Source organism: Homo sapiens, chromosome 12 (assembly GCF_000001405.40).
Source record: "Homo sapiens chromosome 12, GRCh38.p14 Primary Assembly".
Taxonomy (NCBI): Eukaryota; Metazoa; Chordata; class Mammalia; order Primates; family Hominidae; genus Homo; species Homo sapiens.
Window position 1 is genome coordinate 16,204,919 of NC_000012.12, and position 26,426 is coordinate 16,231,344.

Genomic DNA, 26,426 nt, shown 5'->3' on the forward strand with positions numbered 1-26,426 from the left:
AATCATAATGAAAAAGGTGGACAGATTTGATTACATATAGCAGCAAAACTTGTATAAAATAAATTTATGAAATAAAATGTTGAGTTAAAACTGGAAAAATACTAGCAATAAATATGACATAAATCACAATATTCTTAAAGTATCATGAGCATATATAAACTGACAAAAGAAGACCAAAAGAAAAATAGGCCAAGAATATGACTAAGCACATCATAAAAGAGAAAAGATAAAAATGTTCTATAAACATTAAACATTTCAATTTTACACTCTAAAAAATACAAATTAAAGTAGCAATGGAATGTAATTTTTTCCAGTCAAATAGACAAAGATCAAAATATTATGCTAAGGGCTGAAATTAATATCTTGAGGCAAGTATTATCATTTCACAATGACACATAATTGATGCAGTCTTTTAGAAGTCAATTTTGCTTTAATTCTCGATAGTCTTTAAAATATTTATCCTCACTGAAGGAATAATCCCATTTCCAGGATTCTAGTCTAAGGCGGGAATAAGTTATGTACTTAATGATCATAGAAAAGGATGCTTACCTTAGTAATATTTATAGCATGAAAAATTAGAAATAACCTAAATATTCCATAAGAAGGGAAAGGTGCATATATATATATGTATATATATATATTCCATAAGAAGGGAAAGGTGCATATATATATACATATACACACACACACACATATATATACACATATATATATACACATATATACACATGTATATGCACCTTTCCTCACTTCAGCAATATGTCACTCCATCTCCCACCAAAATCAGAGCTTTATCAGATACTTCAAGTGTATGTGGCATTAAGTGCAATAGCATATTGCTTTTGATTCAAGGCAGATTTCTGTTATCTCTCTTTGGAGAAAGATGCAATATTTCCCCTCTTTACAAACTACTGTTTTATTTTGAATGTAATGGAACTATGAAAATCTTAAAATGTGCCTTTTGGAATCTCTTCAAAAGATAGTTGGAGACAGTGAGGAATTATTTCCCTCAGACTTCACTAAATTTTTTTAAGTTATTTTGTAGTGCTGATGTTCTAGCAAAAGTCCAAAATTGTCGAGACAAAACTGAAATGGATTTTATACTCTGCTTTATCTGAGGCACGCCTTCTACTTCACTATGTGCTTTTTGCTTGGGAGCGAAAAAGGGTGCAATTAAAAAGATGTAACAGTCTGTCTCCAGGGTGGATGTGCTTCTGTACCACAGGAAATAAAACTAGTGTAGTAAAAAGAGCTTTGGAATCTGGAATCCGCCATTGCTGTGTGATTTGGACAACGTATGCAACTCTCTGACCTCATTTTCCTCTTACATATGATGGGGCTACAGAAATCTACCTCCAAAGAATTGTTGTGAAGATGTAATGAAATAGTATCTTCTTGAAATGCATATAGCAAGGTCTGCATATAACTGACACTTAATAAATGTTAATTTCTTTCCTTCCTCCTTTCAGTAACCTGATTTAAATGCTTCATTTGAGATTCATAGCTCTCCTACCTGAGTTAATTTTTAAAACACATTAATTTTCATGATACCTGAAGGAAATAATACCTAACCACTGTATTCTAACTTTGACTTTTCTACCAGTTTTTCATATTTATCTAATAAGGACTCAAATTTTTATTACCCTCAATTTATAAACAAGAAACAAAGGCACAGAGCAGCTGAACTGTTTGCCTAAAGTCATGGAAAGGGGACAGAATAAATATTTGTTGAGTGACTGGATGAGCTGAGATTGGGCCTCAGATCTGCACATGCTTGATACTTTGCTCTAGATAATAATGGCTGCATCACGACTTTAATGTGCATTTCCAGATCTTGGGAACTGTGGATAAAAATGAAGTCAGGTTGCTGTTTCCAGGAAGGAACACTGTGTCTTTCAAAATTGTAGGGAAATTGCTAGGCATTGTTCACCTGAGCTGCAGAGAGAACAGGCATGGGTGATATTTGGCATAACTAGCTTTCTTATAAGGGTGAGTTCATTCTCTTGAAGAGCATTGGGAAGTAAAAACCCATCAAGATAGTGTGTTCTCATGATGATTTCAATGAATTATCATGGAAATGAGTTTTAGAAGAGAGGTAATGCTTTGTGATAATAGCCCGATAATGCCATTAGCTATGAACTGTAATTGTAATAGCATTAGTCAAATGAATATATCTGATATTAATTTGAGTGTCAAATATTTCTATAAGGTTCTTCTTATTAATTAAACATCAGACTTGATATTATTAATTCAGCATCTAGCAGTGCTTGCACATAGTAGGAAACCAATATGTATTTGCAACTGAATTAATAAATCAGTCTATAAGTGGGTTTATTTAAAATAGTAAAATGTTGAATTTAAATAATTACATGGATATAACAACACTGATTTTTGCCCAGAATCTGCTTATTTGTACAGTCTGTTCTTCATTTGCAACTCTACTAATAGCGTAGATATAATGATTTCATAATTTTAGAAGAAAGCCTTTCTTTTGCATATTTGGAGGAAAATAAACTTTTACCCCAAATTACTTTAATTTAAGAGTAGAGTTTGTGCCTTTCATCCTGTGTCTTGTGCTCTTTAGGCTATTTAAAAATCTATCAGACATCTTTATGACTGCATTGAGCTTCTGAATATCACTGGGCAAATTCATGCTTTAGGTAGTTTGGGATCACTCTTCATGATCACCAACATCAACTGGGGCCTTCAACACCACCAGCGATATTTTTTTTTCTTTTTTTTTTTGAGACGGAGTTTTGCTCTTGTTACCCAGGCTCCAGGCTGGAGTGCAGTGGTGCAATCTTGGCTCACTGCAACCTCCGCCTCCAGGGTTCAAGCGATTCTTCTGTCTCATCCTCCCAAGTAGCAGGGATTACAGGTGCACGCCACCACTCCCGGCTAATCTTTGTATTTTTAGTAGAGACAGGTTTCACCATGTTGGCCAGGCTGGTCTCGAACTCCTGACCTCAGGTGATCTGCCCACCTCAGCCTCCCAAAATGCTGGGATTACAGGCGTGAGCCACTGTGCCCGGCCAGAACCAGCGATCTTAACACTTGTCTTCTAAATCATCTTTTCATACCTTCATAATAAGTTTGTAATCCTTGCTCTTCCAACTCCCCATTCTCATCCTATTCCCTTTGCTCTCACAGATGGCTCACTGCATACCTCATTAAAAAACATGGGGGGTGCCACAGGAAGGCTCCAGGATCTTTCCAGTATCAGAACTATGCATCTGTGTGCACCTGTGCCTATCTTCTCCTTTCTCTCTTCTGTTTCAGTTCAGGAAAGAAGTATCCACCTTCCAATAAGAAGTCACACTCTCTGGGTTGTCCCTGACCGAGTCCAACATTCCTTTCTTCAGGGCATTAGCTCCATAAATTCTCTGTTCTTTCTCTTGCATTTTTAACTTCTCCATTTACAGCAGGTATTCTTATCAGAAAAATACACTCAAATGTCTCTCAGAAATAAAGTATTAGGTGTGGTGGCTTTTGCTATATTCCCATCTACTGGGGAGACTGAGGTGGGAGGATCTTTTGAGGCAAGGAGTTTGAGACCAGCTTGGGCAATATAGTGAGACCCACATCTCTAAAACAATGCAAAAAAATTAGCCACGCGGTGGTGTGTGCCTACGGTCCTACTCCGGAGACTGAGGCAGGAGGATCCTTTGAGCCCAGGAGTTTAAGGCTGCAGTGAGCTATGATCATGCCACTGCACTCCAGCCTGGATGACAGGGCAAGATCCCATCTCTAAAAAACCCCCCAAAATAAATAAAATAATAAAAAAGTATCTTGAACCCACACCTAAGGTTTTAAATACAAGGTTCCCACTTAAATTTTAATTTCAGAATGAGGAATTATTTTTTAGTGTAAGAAGGTGTATGCATTTTTTTAGTATAAGGAGGTATGTCCTCAATATTGCATAGGACATTCTTAAAGACCAAAAAGTTATTTGTTTACCTGAAATTCAAATTTAACTATGTATCTTGTATTTTTATTTGCTAAGTCTGGCAACTCCACCCACATCCCCTTCTAGCCATCATGCTATCTCTTAAATCTTCTTCAGTTTCTTGTTCTTCAAAAGAGTTCTTTAAACATGATGCCTTTTTTTTTTTTTTTCATGTACTGGACTTCCATCACCTTAATCCAATCTAGTTTTCATTTCACCACTGAAATGACTCTTATTAAAGGTATCAGTGATCATAGTGTTGCTAAATTTTATGAATACCTTCCATTCTTCATCCTACTTGATTTTATAGTAGCATTTGACACAATTTACCATTATCTGCTTGAAACCATCTTCTTTCTTATCTTCAGTGAATATACATATGTGCATATACATATATACATACATATACACACATATATGTGTGTATATATACATATATAGTTCCCTCCTTCCAGCTTTCTGGCTGCTATGTATTTTCTGTGGCAAACTAGTTCCTTTCCATCCAACCTCTAATGTTGGGGCTCCTTTTTCTCCTCATTCTTAATACTCACACTATGTAATTTCATTCATTTCCATGGTTTCAAACGTTATTTTTGTGCCATAGAGTTTCATAGTTATATATCTAACAAAGACCTTTTTTTCTGGCCTCCAGATATTTCTATTTGGATGTCTCACAGGTATGTCAAACAATGTGTTAAAAAGCAAATGGATGGCAACTTTTAAAGTCTATTCTTCTTCCAGCTTTTTCCATTTAGTAAATGGAATCTTTGCCCACCCAGTAGCTCATGGCAGAAACTGGAATGCTTTCCTGACACTACCTCCTCCCTCTTGCATCCTACTGTCTCCTGACTTTCTCAAAACCATTGCTAAGACATTGATTCTACATCTAAAATATAGCTTATATCCATTCACTTCGCTCCATCTGCCTACTTCCTCTCTAGTTCATTACTATTCCAGACTTTCCTGGATTACTTCAATTCTACCTCCTTGTTTCTCCCAAATTATTCTTTCTTCCCTCAAAAATCATACTGGATCCATAATGATCTTCCCCAAACACCAGTAGATCATTGGTGTTTTGTATGTTACCATTCTTATAGCATTCAAGTAAAAGTAAAATCCCTGTATTCAAAGATCTCACGTGATTTTGCCCCTATCTAACTCTCCAATGTGACTTCATGCCATTTCCTCCTTTTTTGAATATTTTCAGCTTACTGGCCTTCTCTGGGTTCCTCTTATGCACCTATCAATTCTTTATTTGTGGGCCTTGATATATGTGCTCTCTACCAGAAAAACCTCATTCCTAGGCTTACCAAGCTAAATTGCACTCATCTTTCTAGTTTCAGCTTCAATACCATTTCCAGGTACTCCTAGTATGCATGTGCATGTGTCTCTAACTCTACCTCGACTTATAAATTTGCCATGCGTAGGAGGCTTCATTAATTACATGGGTCCGTGAGGCCAAGAAGAATCTCAGAGCACTTTCTAATTTCTTCTTCTCCCAATCTCCACCTGGAATTGAACAGTACAACTGAACTCTGCAAATATGGAATCTATTCTTTTCTGGAGAATTAAGTGCCATACCAAAACATCATATCTATAATACATCTAGTCCACCTGGAAGATGTTGAGGTCCCACTCAAATTAAGATAACAACAAAATCATTATTTTTTGTGCACCTACATTTAGCTGGTGATTTTTATCTATTTCTTCTAGTCCTCATAAAAAGCTTGAAAGGTAAGTCACTAGTGAAGACTAGAGAGAGAAACAGCCTCCATTTTAGAGAAGGATAAACTGGGACTCAGTATGGTTAAGTAATGAGCTCAAGACCTAGGAACTCATTGAGAACTGAGTTGAATTGAATTCAGGTTCATCTGACTCAAATGTCTGCCTTTTCTACCTCTCGTGAGCCAATAGCAATGGACTGTTGCTTTCCATAGTCTAAAGCTGGCTCTTTCCTGATGCTATTATAAACTCAAAGTCCTCTGTGCAGCATCAGGGGTTTCTGTGGAGTAAAAGGTTAATGATATAGAATAAATTGTATCTGAAATACATAAAACCATTGTATGAGGGGGGCTTTGCATCTAATTCTGACTGAGGACCATGAGCAGGGTTTGCCTATGGGAGTTATTGGGGCCCTGCTGACTTAGCCACAGGAACCAAGGCACTAAACCAGTTGACAAGTAGAGTGTGGGCCTGGCTAAGGGTGAATTATGGCAGTAGGCCACTTATTTTCCCCTCTGAATCTGAAAATCTCTAAACCCAAATCCCATATGAAGTTGGACCCGAGGCATAGATCTGAATTTGAGGAAGCGTATCTCTTAGATAATAGGTATGAGCCCATGAAATGCAGTTGGAATACTTTTCCAGATGCATAAATATTTTCTTCAAGTTTACTGCAACTGCAAATTCCTGTTTCAAGAGTGACTCAGTCATTCGTGCCGACATAACTGTCAGTGGCCTCAAAAATCATAGATATTTAAATGAGCCTTTTAGGAGATCTCATTTTTAATTTAAGAGAATCTTGATGGAAATTAAACAGCTACATTCTTTGCCCCTTTCCCGAATTTTGAGGAGAAGGAACTTGTAGGGACAAGAAGATATACCACTTGACCTCTTGATTCTGCCCAATTATCCCTTTTTTTTTCTTAAATATTTTGCTTCGGATCTTTCAATCGCCTGCATGTCCATAACTAAGATGTCATTTTTTACTGAATTCTGTTTTGCTATTTTTATGAAAAGGTTTAAGTTCGAATTCATGAGTGTGAGGAAATTGATCTTGTTGCTAATGGGATAGAGTCGAAATAAGCAGTCTGACTGACTTCTTCATTCCCTTATATTAGCATTGCTACTTTTAGATAAACTATTCCTGAAATGATTAGTGTAGGAGGATGAGTTTAGTCTTGTATCTTCTCCTTTAAAGCACTCAGAGTTAGAGATCCCAGAAGGATCAGTTTTCTCACTTGTACTGAAAATGTCACTCTAACAGTTATCTGTCTGCACAGTCAAGTTTTGAGAAATCTTTTGAATTTACCGCATTCACACCATTCTCCATTATGGTGCTAAAAATGACTAATGCAGCTTGGAGACTGGAAGACTGTGATAGCTGATCTTCTTTTCCAATCGGGTATACTAACACTCTCACACACTCACATGCACACATGCTCAGCTGACATGAATCCTTAAAGGTTGAAAATATCCTATATACTAAATGAAATGCTGAAGGATGTAGGGTGCCTAAATGTATAATTATAGTGTTAGTTTCATTATGGTCACTTCTGTCAAAAAAATTTGTCTGATTGTTTGAGTGGCCTGATCTTGTTTTTGGCCAAATGAACCATTATAACGTATGACAATGTTATATTTAAAAATAATCTCTGGCATAGAAAATTTTCAAATATCTTATTTAGTTTTATTCTCTCATCCTGTCTGAGAAAAGTGAAGTACAATTTCCTTTTTTTATTAAGAAAAACCAGTTTTAGAGGGATACTGACCTACCCAAAGCCATGCTTATGGTCACTCTCTTTTAGGGCCTTTATTTATTATACCAGTATAGGATTACTATAACCAAATAATCTAAATGAACCTCATTTCTTTCATTGAGGAATACTATTCTGATGGCTAAAGGGATTGTCACAAAGAGACTTATCCTATTTCCAGAAAAACGTGAAAAGTCTCCTGTGATGTCATTTAGTGAATGATGGAGAAGTATGTGGGCTGAATGATAGTAATTAGGTGAATTGGGAACTGATTATATCCAAAAGGAGAGGATTAATGTGTTGTCATTAACTTGCAATGAGGTCTAGGAATTTTCTGTAAGACTCTTTTTTGGTCCTGTCCAATTCAAAAATTTTATCAATTACCTGGAAGAAGTCTAGGAACTTGCTTACCAAATTTGCAGATGACACAAAGCAAGTAAAGAAGTAAAGATTAGTAATTCCCTGGATGACACAGAATCAATTTTCAAAAATGTCTATTACTTAGGATGATGGGTTGACATTTATTAAAGATAAAAATAAAGTGCTGCATCTAATTAGAAAAAAGAACTGTGAGGAGTAGAACTGAGCTGAAAGCAACTCCTGAAAATTAAAAAAAGTTTCAAATTTTAATTGACCATAAGCAGGATGCAACTGTGAGAAAGTCAGCAAAATCTCTGTTGGCATTCAGAGAGAGAGAGAGTCCAGGTTGATAAAAGTAACATACTTGTCCTGATTGTACCCATTTTGTACCCATATTATGTTTGATTTTGGAAGCCATATTTTAAGAAAGATACTGACGAGTTGCTGTTTGTTTAATGGATGGAGGCGCTTTGATAGAGAAAAATCAAGGAATCATGCAATATGAAAAGACTGGGATAGTTTGTCTATAAAATAGAAGGGGTCATGACTGCCATCTTTACTGAACACTTACTATGCATATTAATTGCTTAATCTTCAGAACAACGTAATATATTATTTATTATCATTACTGAAATAGAAACTGAGAACACATAGCTAGACTACCTAGATTCAAATTCAGGTGGTCTGACTCCAGAACCTATTCTCTTAACCCCTATACCATATTATTTCTCCAAGTATTTATCAAATGTTTGAAGAGCTGCTATGTGAATGGAGAACTGGACTTACTCTGTAGAACATAGTGATCAATAGATGGGCACACTCAGGTTATATCTCAAAGTAGAGAATTTTTCTGGGCACTAGATTATGCTACTACATCTTCTATTTTTGGTACTATGTTAGACTAGTTGAGGTCTAAGGCAACATTCAACTCTATGATTGTGATTTATTGGGATTATAATTTGATATAACACAATATTATTATAAACCAGAAAGAATACACTTAAAATAAGATGTAGCTTAAATTGATGAGTGGTAATTTAAATGGTGTTCTCTTGAGCACAGTTTAGAAAGTGCCCCACCCCACAACCCATCTTGCTAAGATGTCCTCACCATGTGTCCTTGGTAAATTTCCTTTCATGGGCACCAAATTGTGCCAGAATTATATAAACTTTTGTTTCTCTACCTTTGTACTGTATCTAGAATATTATCAATATTATACAGACCTCTATCCAAGGAGGTTATATTGCAAAAGTAACAAATGTCTTTAAACACCCTTACATCTGTGGATTTCTACAAGTTGCTTGTATATTGAAATCAATGTTGGAACTGGTTTCAGAATGCTGAGAGGATTAGATCTCTGTCAGCTACCAGTTGTGATGACTAGAGAACTTGACTTTATTTTTTCTGCCCTAATCGTTACATTTAAAAAATTAGAATAATAATGTAAGGTTGTTGTAATAAATGCAATAATGCATGTAAAAGCTCCTACTATACTATATAGATTCCCAATAAAAATTTAGATTTTCAGTGAAATGCTTTTGTAGGAATAGTTGTGTGATTAAAAAATTTGCCTGGACTGATTCCTGGGAGGTAATCTAAATCTTTTCAACTTCTTGAGTGGTTGGAATGTCTGTTATTTAGGGTGGGACCCTCAGTCCCCACCTGATAGTTTATGCTAATGAGGCAACTCAGAATGGAGAGGGCCCATAGATAATTTATGCTAATCAGATGACCCGGAATGGAGAGTGGGCAGCCAGGAAGACCAACCACATGATCAGACTTGGAGCTTTGAGCCACATATACCAGCCCAACTTCTGGGGAGCAGAAGGAGGGTGGAGACTGAGCTCACAATGATTCAATCAATGGTGCCTATGTGGTAAAGTCTCAACAGAAACACTGGGCACTGAAGCTCAGGTGAGCTCACCTGGTTGGCATTATTCTTATATTGATGTGGTTAGTGCATACCTGGGGATGAAGGAAGCTCCACTTTTGGAACCCTCCCAGATCTTGTTCCATGTGCCTCTTCTGATTTGTATTCTTCTGCCATAATAAACAGTAATTATAAATATTGTACTTTTCTAAGTTCTGTGAATTTTTCTAGCAAATTATCATACCTGAGGGAGTCTGTGGGGATCCCCACATTTATAGGCAGCTTGTCAGAGGTGATGACAGCCCTAGGAATCTCCAAACTTGTGGCTAGTATCTACAGTGAGGGTAGTCTTGGCTGGGTGCGGTGGCTCACGCCTGTAATCCCAGCACTTTGGGAGGCCGAGGCGGGCGGATCACGAGGTCAAGAGATTGAGACCATCCTGGCCAATATGATGAAATCTCATCTCTACTAAAAATACAAAAATTAGCTGGGTGTGGTGGTGTGCACCTGTAGTACCAGCTACGCGGGAGGCTGAGGCAGGAGAATTGCTTGAACTTGGGAGGCGGAGGTTGCAGTGGGCCGAGATCGTGCCACTGCACTCCAGCCTGGGTGACAGAGTGAGACTCTTTCTCAAAAAAAAAAAAAAAAAAAAAAAAAAACCAAAGTGAGGATAGTCTTGGGGAGAACTTAGCCAAGATTGTTTGGTCTAACTCTGGGTAGGTTGCTTAAGCCTGCATATGAAACATTTAGATTTACATAAAAGATAAACTGGTAGTAATATTTGACTTTGCAGTTCTTCATGTATATGTCAAATGTGATTTGATTCTAGAAATTTTGTTTTAGTAAATTTTTGGAAATATCTTCACTGAGTAATGTAAAGAAAGGAAACATGTTCAACACTGAAAATGTTTCAGGTGTGAATATAGGTAAGACTTCTCAAGGTTATCTTACAAAACCTTAATGCCAGTGCTTTGTCTCTAGCTTATGTATGAAGAATCTGAGCACTAGAGAAGTCAGCAACTTGCTGCCGTTCACACAGTTAGCTAACACAGTTTGAATTTGAGTTCTTTGAGAACTGGATCATATCTCACACAATTCCAGGTAGCACACGGCCTGGTACACAGTAAATATTCAACACACACTTCAGCTTAATTTTCTCAGATAAGTAAGGAAAGGGCAGAGTTTGACCTTGTCAGTCGTCAGTCAAGGATTAGTAGGTTTCTTCCCAAGAACTCTGCTGCTCTATCTATCATTGGCTTTTTCACTTTTAATTTCATTGCTTCCTTGTACCCCTGGAAATTTCCTGAGGGCTTGCAAGTGTTTATTTTGCTTGCCATGGTATCACCAGTGCCCAGTATGGTGCCTGGAATAGAATGGGTCCTTGATAAATATTTTTCGAATGGAGGTTTAGTGTTAAAAGGAGTGTCTCATTCATAGAAGTTGATTTTTTTCCATAGTTTGAAAGCAGGTAAATTAAATTTGTCTGTTACAAGAGAATAGAAACTAACACTTTCTTTACATCATTTTTAGTGCACAACAATAAGTATTTTTGAAAGTAGAGAATACACTTGTGATCATTTCCATAAAATAAGCAAAAGTACATTAAAATTAAAGATATATCGACATTTTAGAACAAAATTTCAAAAGTCCAGATTTAAAATACAGCCAAAGTCATATCACTGTGATGACTTATCATTATTGTCATCCTGTCTGGCTGTTGTTTTTACCAACACGTGCAACCAAAGAATAGTTCTTTAAAATTTGCTTTAGTCTAATATTTGCTTTAGTAGGTACTTTAATATTTCAAACAATATTTGAATTTTTCAGATTAGTTGTTTCTCCTGACCAAAATCTCTACTGGGAAAATTTTAAAATATCATTTATTATTCAATTCACAATTTCTCTTGGATTGCATAGACAAGAATTGTGGCAAATCATGAGAAAAAAAGATCATTCAGGTACCCTATCCCCTATATTTACACAGGTCTTACTTTTTCTGAGGACTGTCTATGCCAGCTGTGAGGCATTATTGCATATGGTCTCACTGAAAGATCTAATAAGAATATAATGACCAGTTTGTTTTAAAATACACTAAGGACAGCATGACATTCTGTAATTACCTCCTCCTATCAAAAGAAAAACAATTCCCAGAAATTAATGAATACAGCAAGAGTGTATTTCCTATCTTAATTCTATCTTAATTGCAAAAGTGGATCAATTAAAAAAAGACTGCACTGACAAAGCCCCTTTCTTAAGATTTGGTCTCCCCATTCCCTAGTCATCAACTCAATGTATATAAGCATGCCACGAACCTATTTTTACCATCTGAGATGAGATATACCAACTTCACCAGCAGTGCCCCTGTGAAACAGCCAAATCCATTGAACAGTGTCAGAAAATTCATGGAGGTTCCTCTGACATTGCTTGGAACAAATCTGTATGATATTACAGAGACTGAGAGAAAAAGAGAGGTCAGAATTTAGAACTTTCTCCTGAAAATGCTTTCATAGAGACTGTTCAAATTGATGTTGATCATGTATCAAAGAAAATTTACTGATACAATAAAAATTTGGGTTGGACTTTGTTAAGGTTACTATAGTAAGATATACTGTGTTACAATTTACAGATGTCTTCAAGGAATAAAATATGACAAAAATATACCTTGACCCAGCTACAATGAGAATTTGATTACTTAGTAGTTGAGTGTCCTGATGTATTCACCCTAATTTCACTCCAAATTGAATATTTCTGATAAATTTTGGATAGAGGTGTGGCCTCTATTAGATAATATCATGACAATCTATCAATTTTGTGATTCTGTGTAATTCATTAAGTTCCTTATAGAAAACTTGTATTATATAAAATTTGCATCAAGGTTAAGAGCATGGGCTCTGGAGTTAGACAAGATAGTATTAAAATACCATGTCAGCCATCTACTATTTCTGTGATTTTAGGTAGGTGACTTAAACTTTCCAGCCTCAATGTCCTCCTCTATGAAATGGGAATAATATCGTTATTCACTTGCAGAGGTGCTGGGACACTTACCTGCAATACTACATGTAAAGTGCTTAGTACAATGCTGACTCGTAGGTCCTGGGTCCTGAATAAGGGTTAGGTATTTTTGACAGTATTAATCTTATCAAATTGAGTAGTTCCTACTTGTGCAGGCACTGTACAAAGCCCTTAATATGCATTATCTCATTTCAGGAGAGGTGCTGAGAGAGAGAGAGACAATAGCTTAAGCATTGGTTCTCCAAAGTGGTTATCTTTCCTTCCCAAGTCATTTTTTGGGTGCCGGTAATGATAGTAACAAGAGGTTAAAAAAACCACGAAAAAAATTTTTTTAAATTTTCAATTAAAAATAACTTTCTTTTGGAATCAGAAATAGATGAAAATAAGTATATGAGATTTTGTACGTGCCATATAAACATAATATTTTAAAATGCATGACAATCTTAGCGATATGTGTTAAAATATTTGATGTTTATTATAATATGATATTTGGGATTGCTTCAAAATTATACAACCAGAAGGAAAAAAGATGTGAATGAGAGTAGAAATGAAACAAGTTTTGGCTATGAGTTGAAAATTATTGATGCTAGAAGATGGATACAGGGGAGTTTATTATACTAATCTCTATTATATATGTGTGCCAAAAAAATTGTAAGGAAATACACTAAATAATATTAACAGTCTTAGCTTTGAGTGGTTGAATTACTGGATTTCTAATATTCCTCTTACTCTTTTGTGCTTTGCGAATCTTTCCACAATGAAATCATAAGTAAATATTACAGCTCATTTTAAAAAGAAAAGTGATGATAGAAAACAGATGTGCAGTCATGCGTGGCTTAATGAGGGAGATATGTCCAGAGAAATGTGTCATTAGGTGATTTTGCCATTGTGCAAACATGATCGAGTATACGTATACAAACCTATATGGTCTAGCCTACTACACACCTAGGCTATATGGGTAGCCCATCACTCCTAGGCAACGAATCTGTACAGCGTGTGACTGTACTGAATACTGTTGGCAATTAGAGCACAGTGCTAAGTATTTGTGAAGCTGAACATATCTAAACACAGAAATAGTATAGTAAAATATGATACTATAATCTTATGAAACTGCCGTCATATACGTGATCCATCATTGATCAAAATGTTGTTACGTGTTGCATGACTGTACTGTAAACACTAAACATTTAGTTTCCTTCTCTATGAGAAGTAAGAGATCTTATTATCTCTTCCTGCTCCTCTCGGGAATATTTACCCCTGGTTTTTTGTTTGCTTGTTTGTTTGTTTTTAATACTTTGCTGCAGCAAAACTCTGCATTTACCAGAACTTTTCCATGATCTTACTAACACATGATGTAAATGTATTAATGCTCCTTCCTTAATTTAAAATTTCTGTTTTACTTTCGGTGTGTCCTGCACATGTCTTGATTTATTTATCCCATAAAGATTTAAAGGAATCCCATTTTGCACTTCAGGAAAGTGCTCAGTGCTGGAACTGAGAGGTGGGAAAAGGCATCAGTTTATCTTTCCTGGACTTTAAACTCTGGAGCAGAAACAGCACATTATTTAGTACAAAGGGCAGTGCTAAATGTGCACTTTTCCCACAAACGCTGATTGGAGATGAAGATAATAATGGTGATAGGTAAAATACTGTGGAGAAGGGCTTCAAATATTGGTGGCACGGTAGCACAGCTCTTTGTGTAGTACCAATCACCAGCAGGAACCTTGGAGTATTTTCAGAAAGGTCCAAATGGGAATATGAGAGGAAGCCTGAATAGGCTTTGGGAATAAATGATTCACAGTTATAAAAAGGATTTGGCTTATAAACTTTCCTTTCCATAAGTACAAGGAGACAAGCAATGAGCAGAAAGAGTAAGTAGGCCTATTTCTTTCACTAAGAAAAAGCAGAACATACAAGCCCATTATTACTCTGCTAGTTAATTATTAATCCTATGCTTTTCTCCTGCTAGAACTTCTGGTACGGTATATAATTCATGAACACACTTTGCCAGCTCTCTGCCTGCTGGTTAATCTCTCTTTGGTGTCATTTTAGTCGTTTTTGAAAACCTCCAGTTCCCTTTTATAGGACTTAGCTTTTCAAGTCCTCGAATCTTCATTTTTAGGCATCTACTTGCATGTTCTGATCTTTTGAAACTTTAGTGATCATCAATTTGATTTTTTTTAGGCTCCGAGATATTTCTTTTAGCCCATTACAATGTAGATAATATCAATAAGTCTGTCACTATTGTAAAGTTCCCGTTTTTCTATGAAGACACAATAAAAAATATTCAGTGTGTACGTGAAAGCTGGTCTTCTTGCCAATGAGCGCTAAAAATGTGCCTCCAGGTAGTAGCTGGTTAGTGCTTGTAAAGATGCCACATCACAGCATATGAGGAATCTTCAAAATATAGGGCCATAACCACCTTCCTAAGGCACCTGGTACTGGGGACTTATTGCTGGAAATATTTTTTACTCTCGTTGTTCTTAAACAGTTAAAATGTGTGTATTGTGTTTGGTGAAAAGTTATTTTGAACATGTGGAGAAGAAGTACCACAGTCCCAGAAAATGGAACTTTATCCTGTTGCCATTTTTAGACCATTATATCTCCCTTAACCCTAAAAAAGCTTCAGCTTTGAAGCTCATGTTATCAGACTATATCATCTACTTCCCTTTCATGCTGTCATCTGCCAATCTATAGGACATTTTCCTCTTTTTCTCAGAGTTGTCAGTTCCTCTCTCATTGTCACACTCTCTGGTACTACTTCTGCCTTAATACTTGGCAATTTTACTATACATGTAGATCATCCTTCCCACCTTCCATCCTTTCAATCTTGGTTGTCCAGTTCCTTGACCTCCAATGTCTGATCTCCAATCTACCTCAGCTTCCACTCCACTCACACCCAAGGTCATGGCCTATGCCTTGTACCTCAGACCAGTGGTTGGCCAGCTATGGTCAGGTAATATTCAGTTTGCCACCTATTTTAATAAAGTTTTATTGGAACACAGCCACGCTCATTTATTATATGTTGTCTATGGCTGCATTCATACCACAATGACATAGTTGAGTAATTGTAACAGAGACTGGCCTGCAAAACCATGTGTTGGATCAATAACTGTACCCACTCCATAATCACAATTTTGTGCACCCTTCTCTGATTAGAGCCTTCTATCTTCCCAACTTACTCTCCACTACTCAACCACAGAGATGCTATAAGCTATAATGGCAGAAATTTTTGTCTTATTTTTTTTAACTGATGTGTCTAAAACTTCGAGAGCAGTATTAGGCACACTGTAGACACCCACACAGTATTTTTTGAATAAACAAACATAGGGTATGAGACAGCTGAGGTGTACGCTGCTACAATTAAAACATAATTTGAAAAGTTTCCTACTGCTTTTTTTTTTCTAGCTCATCTCCAATGTATAACATGTCTTAGTAGGGTAGGCTATGTCTACTGTCATTTATGGAGTGATTCACTGTGTTTCCTTGCTCAATGCCATCAATGTAGGACACTGTCAAAAGTTTGAATAATACATTTTTATTGTACCATATAGAAATAGCCGTAGACTTCATTCATTTGTTTCTTCAATCAAAATGTATTTATTGATCACCTATTTTGTATATGTACTTTTCGGAAAGGAGAAACATACCTTGATGTCAGGAATGTATATTCTTACAGTGAGAGGCAGGCAATACAAATATAAATAAAGTAATTTCAGATTCTGACAAGTGCTATTTAAAAAACCAGGGTAATTAAGTGGAAAGTGATGGAATGCTCAAGGAAGCCCCTCCAAAGAGAAGACCTTTGAGAAAGCTCAATAATGAGAAGCCAGTCATTTGAAAACAGAGGAAAGGGAATTCTGAATAAAGGATAAAGCAAGTACAAAGGACTTGGGGTAGACAGAAATCTAGCATCTTAGAAACACACACATTTCTGGGGATGTGGTCAAGGGGCAGATTGTAACCAAATGTAGGTGGAACAACACGTGGAGACCAAATCATGTGGAACATTATTCACCATTGTGAATAATTTATCTCTAAAACTCTACTGTGGAATTTCAATCAGGGGAATGATAGAACTTATGTTTTGAGAAGAACACCACAACTGTTTTGAAGAGAATGGACTCATGGGGCAGGAGAGGAAGCAGGGAGAAAAGTTCAGAGGCTCTGGTCGAATTGGGGCTGGAGATGATGGTGTTGTACACCAGGAGAACAAAGGGGATAGTGAGATGTGGCCAGATTTAAGTTATATTTCAGAGTAAAAATGAGGACTTGCTGTTGGATTGGAGGGGAGAGGTGAGAGGAAAGAGATGGATCTAGGATGAATCAAGTGAGAGACAGTTCTGCTTATGCTTCCAGGTCTCCCAGCTGTTCAGGTGGTTTATGGCAGAAAGAGCTGGGAACAGGACACCTGTGCTTCTGTTCTGAGTCTGACACTATTAATTCATGTGAAACATGATAATAATATTAGGTTGGTGAAAAAGTAATTGTGGTTTTTGCCATTACTTTTAGTAATGATAACAACACATTATAACTGCTAATTATTGAATGCTGTCTATATACGGGGCACTGCGGTTTTTGCTTTACATAAAATCTTCCACTTAGTCCTTTGAACAACTCCCTGTTTTATAGATGATGAGAAAAGCCCAGAAATGAGGAATAATTTTCCCAACGTCACAGAGTTAGTCAGTGACAGAACTGGGTTTGAATTCAGATCTGTCTGACTTTAAGACCATAGAGCCTAACCTCTGTGCTGTACTGTCTCCCAGAAAGGTAATACTTGATTTTATAGTTTGAAATACCCTTTCATATGTTATGTCATTTGATTTTCAAGGAGTAGTCTCTCATTCCCATTGATGCTTACCCTATCAATGCTGTGATATAAAGAAGAATACAATTATTTCTATTTTAAATATCAGAAAAGTGAGGATTGGAGGTTAAATGAGTTCCCAAATTTATGTAGGTAGTAATGGAAAAGCTAGATATCAGACCAAATTCTTTCAGTCCCTGGTCCATTATCCCAATAGCAGATGAGTCAAGTGACTTAGACCTCAGTTAGGCCTGATTTCCTGGAGTAAATCAGGGAGTGGTGGAGTAAGTGATGTGTAGCACATGATCTGCCTTTTTCACAGTCATTGGTTTTCTGTACCTCTCTGGCTTCTGAATGTTGAACCACTATTGCTAAGCTGGCTAGCAATTTCCTCCACATATTCACTCATTACTTTTACTCATTATTTACTCTATACCAGCCCAGAAAATTTTGGCTGACTACTTCCAACACATTTTTGGGAATAACATCAGAGAAGATCACAAATATTTGTGTAGTAGCATTGCTTTACACTTCTTTTGTCTTCCTTGCAGTGTTAAACAGTGAGGTCCCCAGTTTAAAATCTCATAAAGTAATTTATGTATGCAAAATATATGGGATGAAATGATATACAATTATAAAAAAAGAAGTCTGAGACACACATATATATGCATATACTCCAACTTAATTTTATTTTCATTATTTAATGAATTGCCTTGGTATCATAAGTATGTGTGTGTATAAATACATATTTATTAAATATTTATTTTAAGGAGTTTGGAAACAACTTTTAAGATAATAGAATCATTGAAGATTGTAGACACAGATGGAATGGTTAGAATTGTTATTTAGGATGATTACTCTAAAATCCATGTGCCAGTTGATAGAATGGGAGAGATAATGGAGGTCGGAAGATAGTTAGAAGTTATAAAAATATTATCCATAAAATATAATGGGAGCTTGAGTTACAATCAGGACTCCTACTACACGAAAATTTAAGGAGGATAGAAACATAAGATGTAATCAATTACAGAGATAAATAGATGTACACACACATTACTGTATTGCAAGAAGCCACTGAAATATTGTGATAAATTGTAAAGTGGCTAGTTTAATTAATATAAGCAATCTAGATAATTCAGAAACCCTTGATATTTAATAAACTTATTTTGAACCTGTCTTATGAAACATTAGTGATCTCATTTAATCTAGTGTAATTTAATTCAAAGACATCAAGTTATCTGGAAAATTGGCTTAAATTTTCATTTCATTTGCATGTTTATATACTCTCAAAGAACATTAAGTGTCATTTTTGGAGGAGTATAAATGAGCTTTTTTTTTTTTTGAGATGGAGTCTCACTCTGTCACCAGGCTGGAGTGCAGCGGCACAATCTCGGCTCACTGCAACCTCCGCCTCCCGGGTTCAAGTGATTCTCCTGCCTCAGCCTCCTTGAGTAGCTGGGACTACAGGCGCCTGCCACCACACCTGGCTAATTTTTTGTATTTTTAGTAGAGACAGGGTTTCACCATGTTGGCCAGGATGGTCTTGATCTCTTGACCTCGTGATCCACCTGCCTTGGCCTCCCAAAGTGCTGGGATTACAGGCGTGAGCCACCGCACCCGGCCTGTGAGTTTATCTATGAGTGAGAGTCGGGGAGGTGAGAGGAGGGAAGGGAGAAGAGAAGAGGCTTTACATCTTAGTGTTCTGGAGTTGTCTTCTGGGTTTTAGCAGAGGTTTTCCTCCTGTGGTGTGTCTGACAAAATGGTTATTGCCTTTAACCAGATTAAAAATCTTTTGTTCCATCTGCATCCAGGCAGAATTGATAATTGTTCTGTGCATGGCAGAGGAATGAGGAGAAATGAAATGTTTGTAAAAAAGTAATAAATAAATTTGCTGGAAGTATTGTGGGAACTCTCTAGGAGGTGAATAGATGACATACCACTTTAATTGTTCTGGTTGAGGTGATGTGTTCTGTGTAAAGGTTCAGTATGTTCTAACATTAGTTGAAAAGGTGTTTACTCACGGGCTGGGTTTACCAGTGTTTCCGCCACTCCAAGTAAAACATACTGAAGAATCAGGTAGAAACAGGGCATGGAGGAAACAGTGAGAACTTTTCCTGAAAGGGGCTGCTCCACTGCAGGGAAATGTTTTCGGTGTATTTCAAAGAAGCCAGCTATCATCACAGACAATGCAGCAAAAAGATTTCCAGCAACTGAAGGAAAATAATGCAAAAGAAAAAAAAGTTAAACGAAGAGCTAGAGATTCATGTAATAAGCCATAACATTTCTTACCCATTGACATTAGATGTTTCTTTTTTGTTTGTTTGTTTTTATTTTTTTTTAATTTTTTTATTATACTTTAAGTTCTAGGGTACATGTGTACAATGTGCAGGTTTGTTACATATGTATACATGTGCCATGTTGGTGTTCTGCACCCATTAACTCGTCATTTACAATAGGTATATCTCCTAATGCTATTCCTCCCCCCTCCCCCCACCCCACAACAGGCCCTGGTGTGTGATGTTCCCCTTCCTGTGTCCAAGTATTCTCATTGTTCAATTCCCACCTATGAGTGAGAACATGCGGTGTTTGGTTTTTTGTCCTTATGATAGTTTGCTGAGAATGATGGTTTCCAGCTTCATCCACGTTCCTACAAAGGACATGAACCCATGATTTTTTATGGCTGCATAGTATTCCATGGTGTATATGTGCCACATTTTCTTAATCCAGTCTATCATTGTTGGACATTTGGTTTGGTTCCAAGTCTTTGCTATTGTGAGTAGTGCCGCAATAAACATACATGTGCATGTGTATTTATAGCAGCATGATTTATATTCCTTTGGGTATATACCCAGTAATGGGATGGTTGGGTCAAATGGTATTTCTAGTTCTAGATCCCTGAGGAATGGCCACACTGTCTTCCACAATGGTTGAACTAGTTTACAGTCCCACCAACAGTGGAAAAGTGTTCCTATAGGCAATACCATTCAGGACATAGGCATGGGCAAGGACTTCATGTCTAAAACACCAAAAGCAATGGCAACAAAAGCCAAAATTGGCAAATGGGATCTAATTAAACTCAAGAGCTTCTGCACAGCAAAAGAAACTATCATCAGAGTGAACAGGCAACCTACAGAATGGGAGAAAATTTTTGCAATCTACTCATCTGACAAAGGGCTAATATCCAGAATCTACAAAGAATTCAAACAAATTTACAAGAAAAAAACAACCCCATCAAAAAGTGAGTGAAGGATATGAACAGACACTTCTCAAAAGAAGACATTTATGCAGCCAACAGACACATGAAAAAATGCTCATCATCACGGGCCATCAGAGAAATGCAAATCAAAACCACAATGAGATATCATCTCACACCAGTTAGAATGGTGATCATTAAAAAGTCAGGAAACAACAGGTGCTGGACATTAGATGTTTCCTCAACATTTGTTTGCCCTCGGGATATCCAGACGCCAGTGATCTGTGCTGTTTGGCCATCCAGTGCTTAGGCTGTGGCCTCACAAAGGGCTGAGTTGACTTCCTCTTCCCTGACTTCCTACATATAGAACCTCAGGCCAGTAATGTAACCTCATTATCACTTTCCTCAGCTCCAAGGTGGAGTTAATAACGCTTACTTTATAGGGTGCTTGTGACATTTAAATAAGACAACTGATATCTGCTGGGGATTGGTTCCAAGACCCCAAAGACACCAAAATTCCTGCTGCTCAAGTGTATTATGTAAAACGGCTTTGTATTTATTTGCACATAACCTATGCTCCTCTTCCTCTATTCTTTAAATCATTTCTAGGTTACTTATAATCCCTAATACAATGCAAATAGTATGTAAACAGTTGTTATACTATATTGTTTAGGGAATAATGACAAGAAAAAAAGTCTGTACATGTTCAATACAGATGCAACCAACTACTTTTTATTCAAGGTTGGTTGAATCTGCAGATGTGGATCCCTTGAATTAGTAGCAATTATTATTGAAGATAAAGCAATGTTTTAAAACTTTTTTTCCCAGAAAAGAGATATCATCCTAGATAACTTTCATAAAAAAGATATATGAGTCAAAAATTATTTGGAGGAAGTTCAAATATAAAATTATCTTTATATATAGCTTTAATTATTATTTTAAACATGTTTTTGAAATAAACTTAAAGTATTATTGGTCCTCAGTTGTCTGGCATTTCTCTGATTTTCACAGAGAAGGTAAAACAGCTATTAGAGAAGGACTAAAACTTTCGTTTAGAAAAAAATTTCTTAAAGAGATAAATTAGCTAAGTGAAGAGTGTAAATGCCAACAATTATAGTGGTCAAACTCTTCTCTTCCTTTTACTTTTGAGGAATTATCTAGAAGTTTTTTGTTGAAATTGAGTAGGATTTTGTTACCGAGTCTGTATCTACTCTAACTATTCCATTTCTCCATTTAGCATTCATATTACTGGACTTAATCCTTTCGTTAGAGTGGAGGCAAACTTTAGCTTGATGGAATTTATTTGAAATTTTCAGATAGTCACATTTTGCTAACTTGCATACAATTTTAGATAAGGCAAAGCTTTCAATTCAGAAAAATCAATCTAATGTTTAAATAGCTTAGTGTTTGTTTTGGTTGATAGAGAAACTGGTAGGTAATTTTTTTGATTATATCTCAGAATTTAAATATATTCATAAAGACTGCTCTTTCCAGGGTCCCCAAGAAATCAAAGGTGTAAAAAAGGAGGAAACCTCAATAAACCTCAGTTTAAAAATTTGAGGAATTTTTAATTTATTACTATTTTAAATTAAGGACTATAAAGGCTTATTCATAGTAAAGTAGAGATTTTGCTTCCGTAAACGGCTCACATAAAAAATACACATTTCACATATTATCTGATTTTAAGACCAAATTCATTATATAATCACCTTTATCAAGATTATTGGACACATTACAGACTCATCAGAAAGAGTGCTAATATGTCAATTCAATTTAATATTTGCTCTGTTCCTGCTATATGCAAGATAGTATGCTCAGCACCGTGGGGGATAAAAGATGAAAAGAGTCTGTTCCATTGCAGACTCATATTCTATTGGGGAGTATCAGGAGAAGAACTTATTGCTAGTTGGAGAGGTGAGAGACATCATTTTATGCTTTTAAGAAAGAAGGGTTTCAGTACGAAAAGGTGAAAGCAGCACACGTGGCATGAGCAAAGGGACAGCGTTGTGAAAGCATCAGACAGATTTTCAGGATGATGAGACGTTCAAGTTATTTGGGAATCAAGGTAGACGATAGATTGGGGTCAGATCATAAGAAGCATTTAATACACTTTTAAGAAATTTGAAAATTACTCTGAAGATAAGAGAATGAAGATAATAGAATCATTGAAGATTTTAGACACAAGTGAAATGATTACAATCGTTATTTAGGATGATTACTCTAAAGGTCATGTGCTGGTTGGTAGAATAGGAAAGATATTGGAGGTAGGAAGATAGAAGTGATAAAAATAATCTGGTAACGTATAATGGGGGCTTAAGTTACAATCAGGGCTTCCACTTCTGGAAAATATAAGGAAGGTAGAAACATAAAATGCATTAGAGGGCACTGATAAAACCATAGCAACTGATGCAAAGAGCAAGGAGGAAGCAGAAGTTAGTTATGAATATGAATCCAGGTGACTGGAAAGATGGCAGTGGTAATATAAGTAAGAACCATAGTAGATATGGGAATAACATGAATTTAATTTTGAGTTGAGTTGGAGGTACAAAGCCGTCATCTAAAGAGAAACGATCAGAAGACAATTGAAAATGTGTTATAGCTCAGGAAATTGGGTGAATCAAGAGAGAAAAAATAATGAGTCATCTGCTTAGAGTCAGAGTTTAGGGCCAGATGAAACTGAAAGAGGATTGGGGAGGGACAGCAGAGAATATCTAAGCAGTGCCTTCAAGCATGTTTGCATTTGGGGCAAGACAATGAAGTAAAAGTGCTGAAAGCAAGGTCAGAAAGATAGGTCATGTGTAAGAAAAGGTTTCAAGGAGGAGGATATACAAAGTAGAACTTTTGATCTTTCTCTCTAATTCTTCTCCTTCACTCTTCTGATCTCTTCCACATCTGTGGTCCCCTCTCTTCCCCCTACCTCCAAATACATCATTAAGTCCTGTAGATTTTGTTTCCAAAATACACTTGACCCTTGAACAACATGGGTTTGAACTGCTCAGGTACACTTACATGCGGGTTTTCCTCTACTTCTACCACCTCTGAGACAGCAAGGCCAACCTCTCCTCCTGCTCCTCCTCAGCCTACTCAGTGTGAAGACAGTGAAGTTAAAGACCTCTGTGATGATCCACTTCCACTTAATACAGAGTAAATATATTTTCTCTTCTATATGATTTTCTTAATAACATTTCCTTCTCTGTAGCTGACTTTATTGTAAGAATACACTATGTAATACATATAACATAAAATGTATATTGATTGTTTATGTTATTAATATTGCTTTCCATCAACAGTAGGCTATTAGTAGTTAAGTTTGCAGGGGGTGAAAAGTTACACGTAGATTTTTGACTGTGTGGGGCTTGATGCTCCCAACCCCTGCGTTGTTCAAGGGTCAACTGCGTATTATAAATCAATTTGCTTCTATCCATAGCCACTGCCATCATTCCAAGCCAAGCCATTCTCATTTTTAACTCAGATGATGTGCAGTAGCATATTAACTGGTCTTCTTGTTTCCACTCTTGTCCACCTCTAACCTATTAAGCACCCAGCAGCCAGATTGAGCTTATGTAAATGTAAATTGAATATTACTCTTCAGCTTAATTCCTTCTATGGGTGTCCACACAGTTAAGAAGAAATCCGTAACTTTTAACATGGCCTGTGTGATCTTGCCTATGCTTGTTACTTCAGTCTAATTGCCTTGCTACTTTCTACTGTCTGACCAGGTTTCAGCCACAGTAATCTTCATCTTTCTTGAATATCTTAAACTCTTTCTTTTCCATCTTAGGGACTTTTATTTGCTCTTCACTCTGTCTGAAACCATCCTGTCTAATGCCTCTTTGTCTTTTAGATATGCACTTTATAATCTAAATTAGATCCCATAACATCCATTTTTTTCACTATACTTACTACAATTTGAAATTAAATATTTTTAGTGTGTTCATTTTTACCATGTGTTTCAATTACTTCATTGGAAGATTCACAAGAATTGGATCTAAGTTTGTTTTGTTTATTACTCTTTACTACCAAGAAAAGGGCCCAGGTTCAAAGTAAGCAACACACACACATACACACACACACACACACACACACACACACACACACAATCTTAAATAAATAAATGACCACGTTTAATATTTTTAATATTTTAAGAGATAGAGGATAATGAAACATGTGACAAGTCTACTGTATTGAAGAATGGAATATAAGTTACTTTTTACACTCAGCAGGACTCCCATGATGAAATCAGAAAGCAAGGGGTTGAACAATGAGTGGGTGGTATGTGTAAGTAGTGTCATCTAATCTTCTAAGAAGTTTGGTGTGCAGAAAAGGAGAAAGCTTTACAAATTGCTTAAGAAGTTAGCAGGATCACAGGAAGCTCTTTTATAAGATGTGAAAGGCTTAGTCATGTTTGTATAGATGGAAGAGGAGTCAATGGAGATGGGAAAAATTAAAGATACATGAGGAAAAAATAAATAATATAGAAGCATCCTGAAGTAGATGAGAGAGAGAAAAGGCTTAGGGGCCCAAGTTTAATCCCAGCAAGGAAAGAAAAAAGTTATCCTCTAAAGGAAAAGAAATGTATAGAATGTTTAGAATACGGAGAATATTGACAAATAGAAAAGTGAATTTGAGGACATATTTATCATATAATCTTATTCTTGCAACTTAGAGAGGCTAGTCACTTGGTGAGAATGAGTAGATGGGAATGAAATTGAGAGGATAGAGAGGTAAGTTTCAACAACCCACTGTTGATGAGTTTAAACAAAAGATAGAGTCTACAGTAAAATTAGAGCTGGTTGCTGAGGTTTGCAGCTTATTTTACTGAGCTCTTTTTTTTGTCCTAATAGTGCAAGAGCTGAACCATCCCAGACAATAGAAGCACAATTTAATACTTGTCCCATAGGCTTTGCTTTTGACATTACAGTAAACAATTAGAATGATGTTAAATTATTCAATTTGTTTACAAAATTTAGATGAATTTTTAATTATTTACACCCAGAGAATAAGGCACTTGAGTATTTTTTATTTTTTAATTCTTAAAAAAGACAAGGCCGGGCGCGGTGGCTCACGCCTGTAATCCCAGCATTTTGGGAGGCCGAGGCGGGTGGATCACGAGGTCAGGAGATCGAGACCATCCTGGCTAACACGGTGAAACCCCATCTCTACTAAAAATACAAAAAAAAAAAAAAAAATAGCCGGGCGTGGTGGTGGGCACCTGTAGTCCCAGCTACTCGGGAGGCTGAGGCAAGAGAATGGCGTGAACCCAGAAGGCAGAGCTTGTAGTGAGCTGAGATCATGCCACTGCACTCCAGCCTAGGCTGCAGAGCAAGACTCCGTCTCAAAAAAAAAAAAGACAAAAAAACTTTACATAATTATGTTCTTCAAGGTTTAGGACCTAGATAATGGCCAAGTATTTTTCTAATTAAATAGTCTCCACCAGTATGATTCTTATTAGTTACGTAACTGTGGGCCAGTCACTTTACCTTAAAAATTCTCAAGTATCTTTTGTACAAAATTTGGTATTAGATAGTGCATAATGGTGCAAATTCTTTGCAAGTTGGAAAAGAAAGTTGGAAAAAACTATGCAGATTTAGAATACTTTTAAGATCCTATTCCACTAAAAGAAGATTTTTATCTACATTCCAATATCTAGAGCAGTTTAGGGACTTCCAGTTAAGGTGGCTGATTGACCACACAATTTTAATTTTCTTTCTCATTCTAGTTAAATGATGGCAAAGAAATTTGGAAAAGGTAAAAAGTCA

At 36.5% G+C, this 26,426-nt stretch overlaps 1 protein-coding gene and 1 long non-coding RNA gene across 2 annotated transcripts in view; one reads left to right on the forward strand and one right to left on the reverse strand.

Moving 5' to 3' along the window:
* The window catches only part of LOC101928362 (uncharacterized), a 169,017-nt gene that overhangs the window by 97,410 nt on the left and 45,181 nt on the right, over positions 1-26,426 (forward strand). The window lies entirely within an intron of this gene.
* Positions 1-26,426, reverse strand: part of SLC15A5 (solute carrier family 15 member 5) — an 89,201-nt gene that overhangs the window by 16,434 nt on the left and 46,341 nt on the right. The window contains exons 6-7 of the mRNA NM_001170798.1: positions 19,496-19,684; positions 11,975-12,106 (exon numbers count right to left, since the gene is read on the reverse strand). Coding sequence (NP_001164269.1) covers positions 11,975-12,106; positions 19,496-19,684 — 321 coding nt within the window. The remainder of the gene's footprint in view (positions 1-11,974; positions 12,107-19,495; positions 19,685-26,426) is intronic.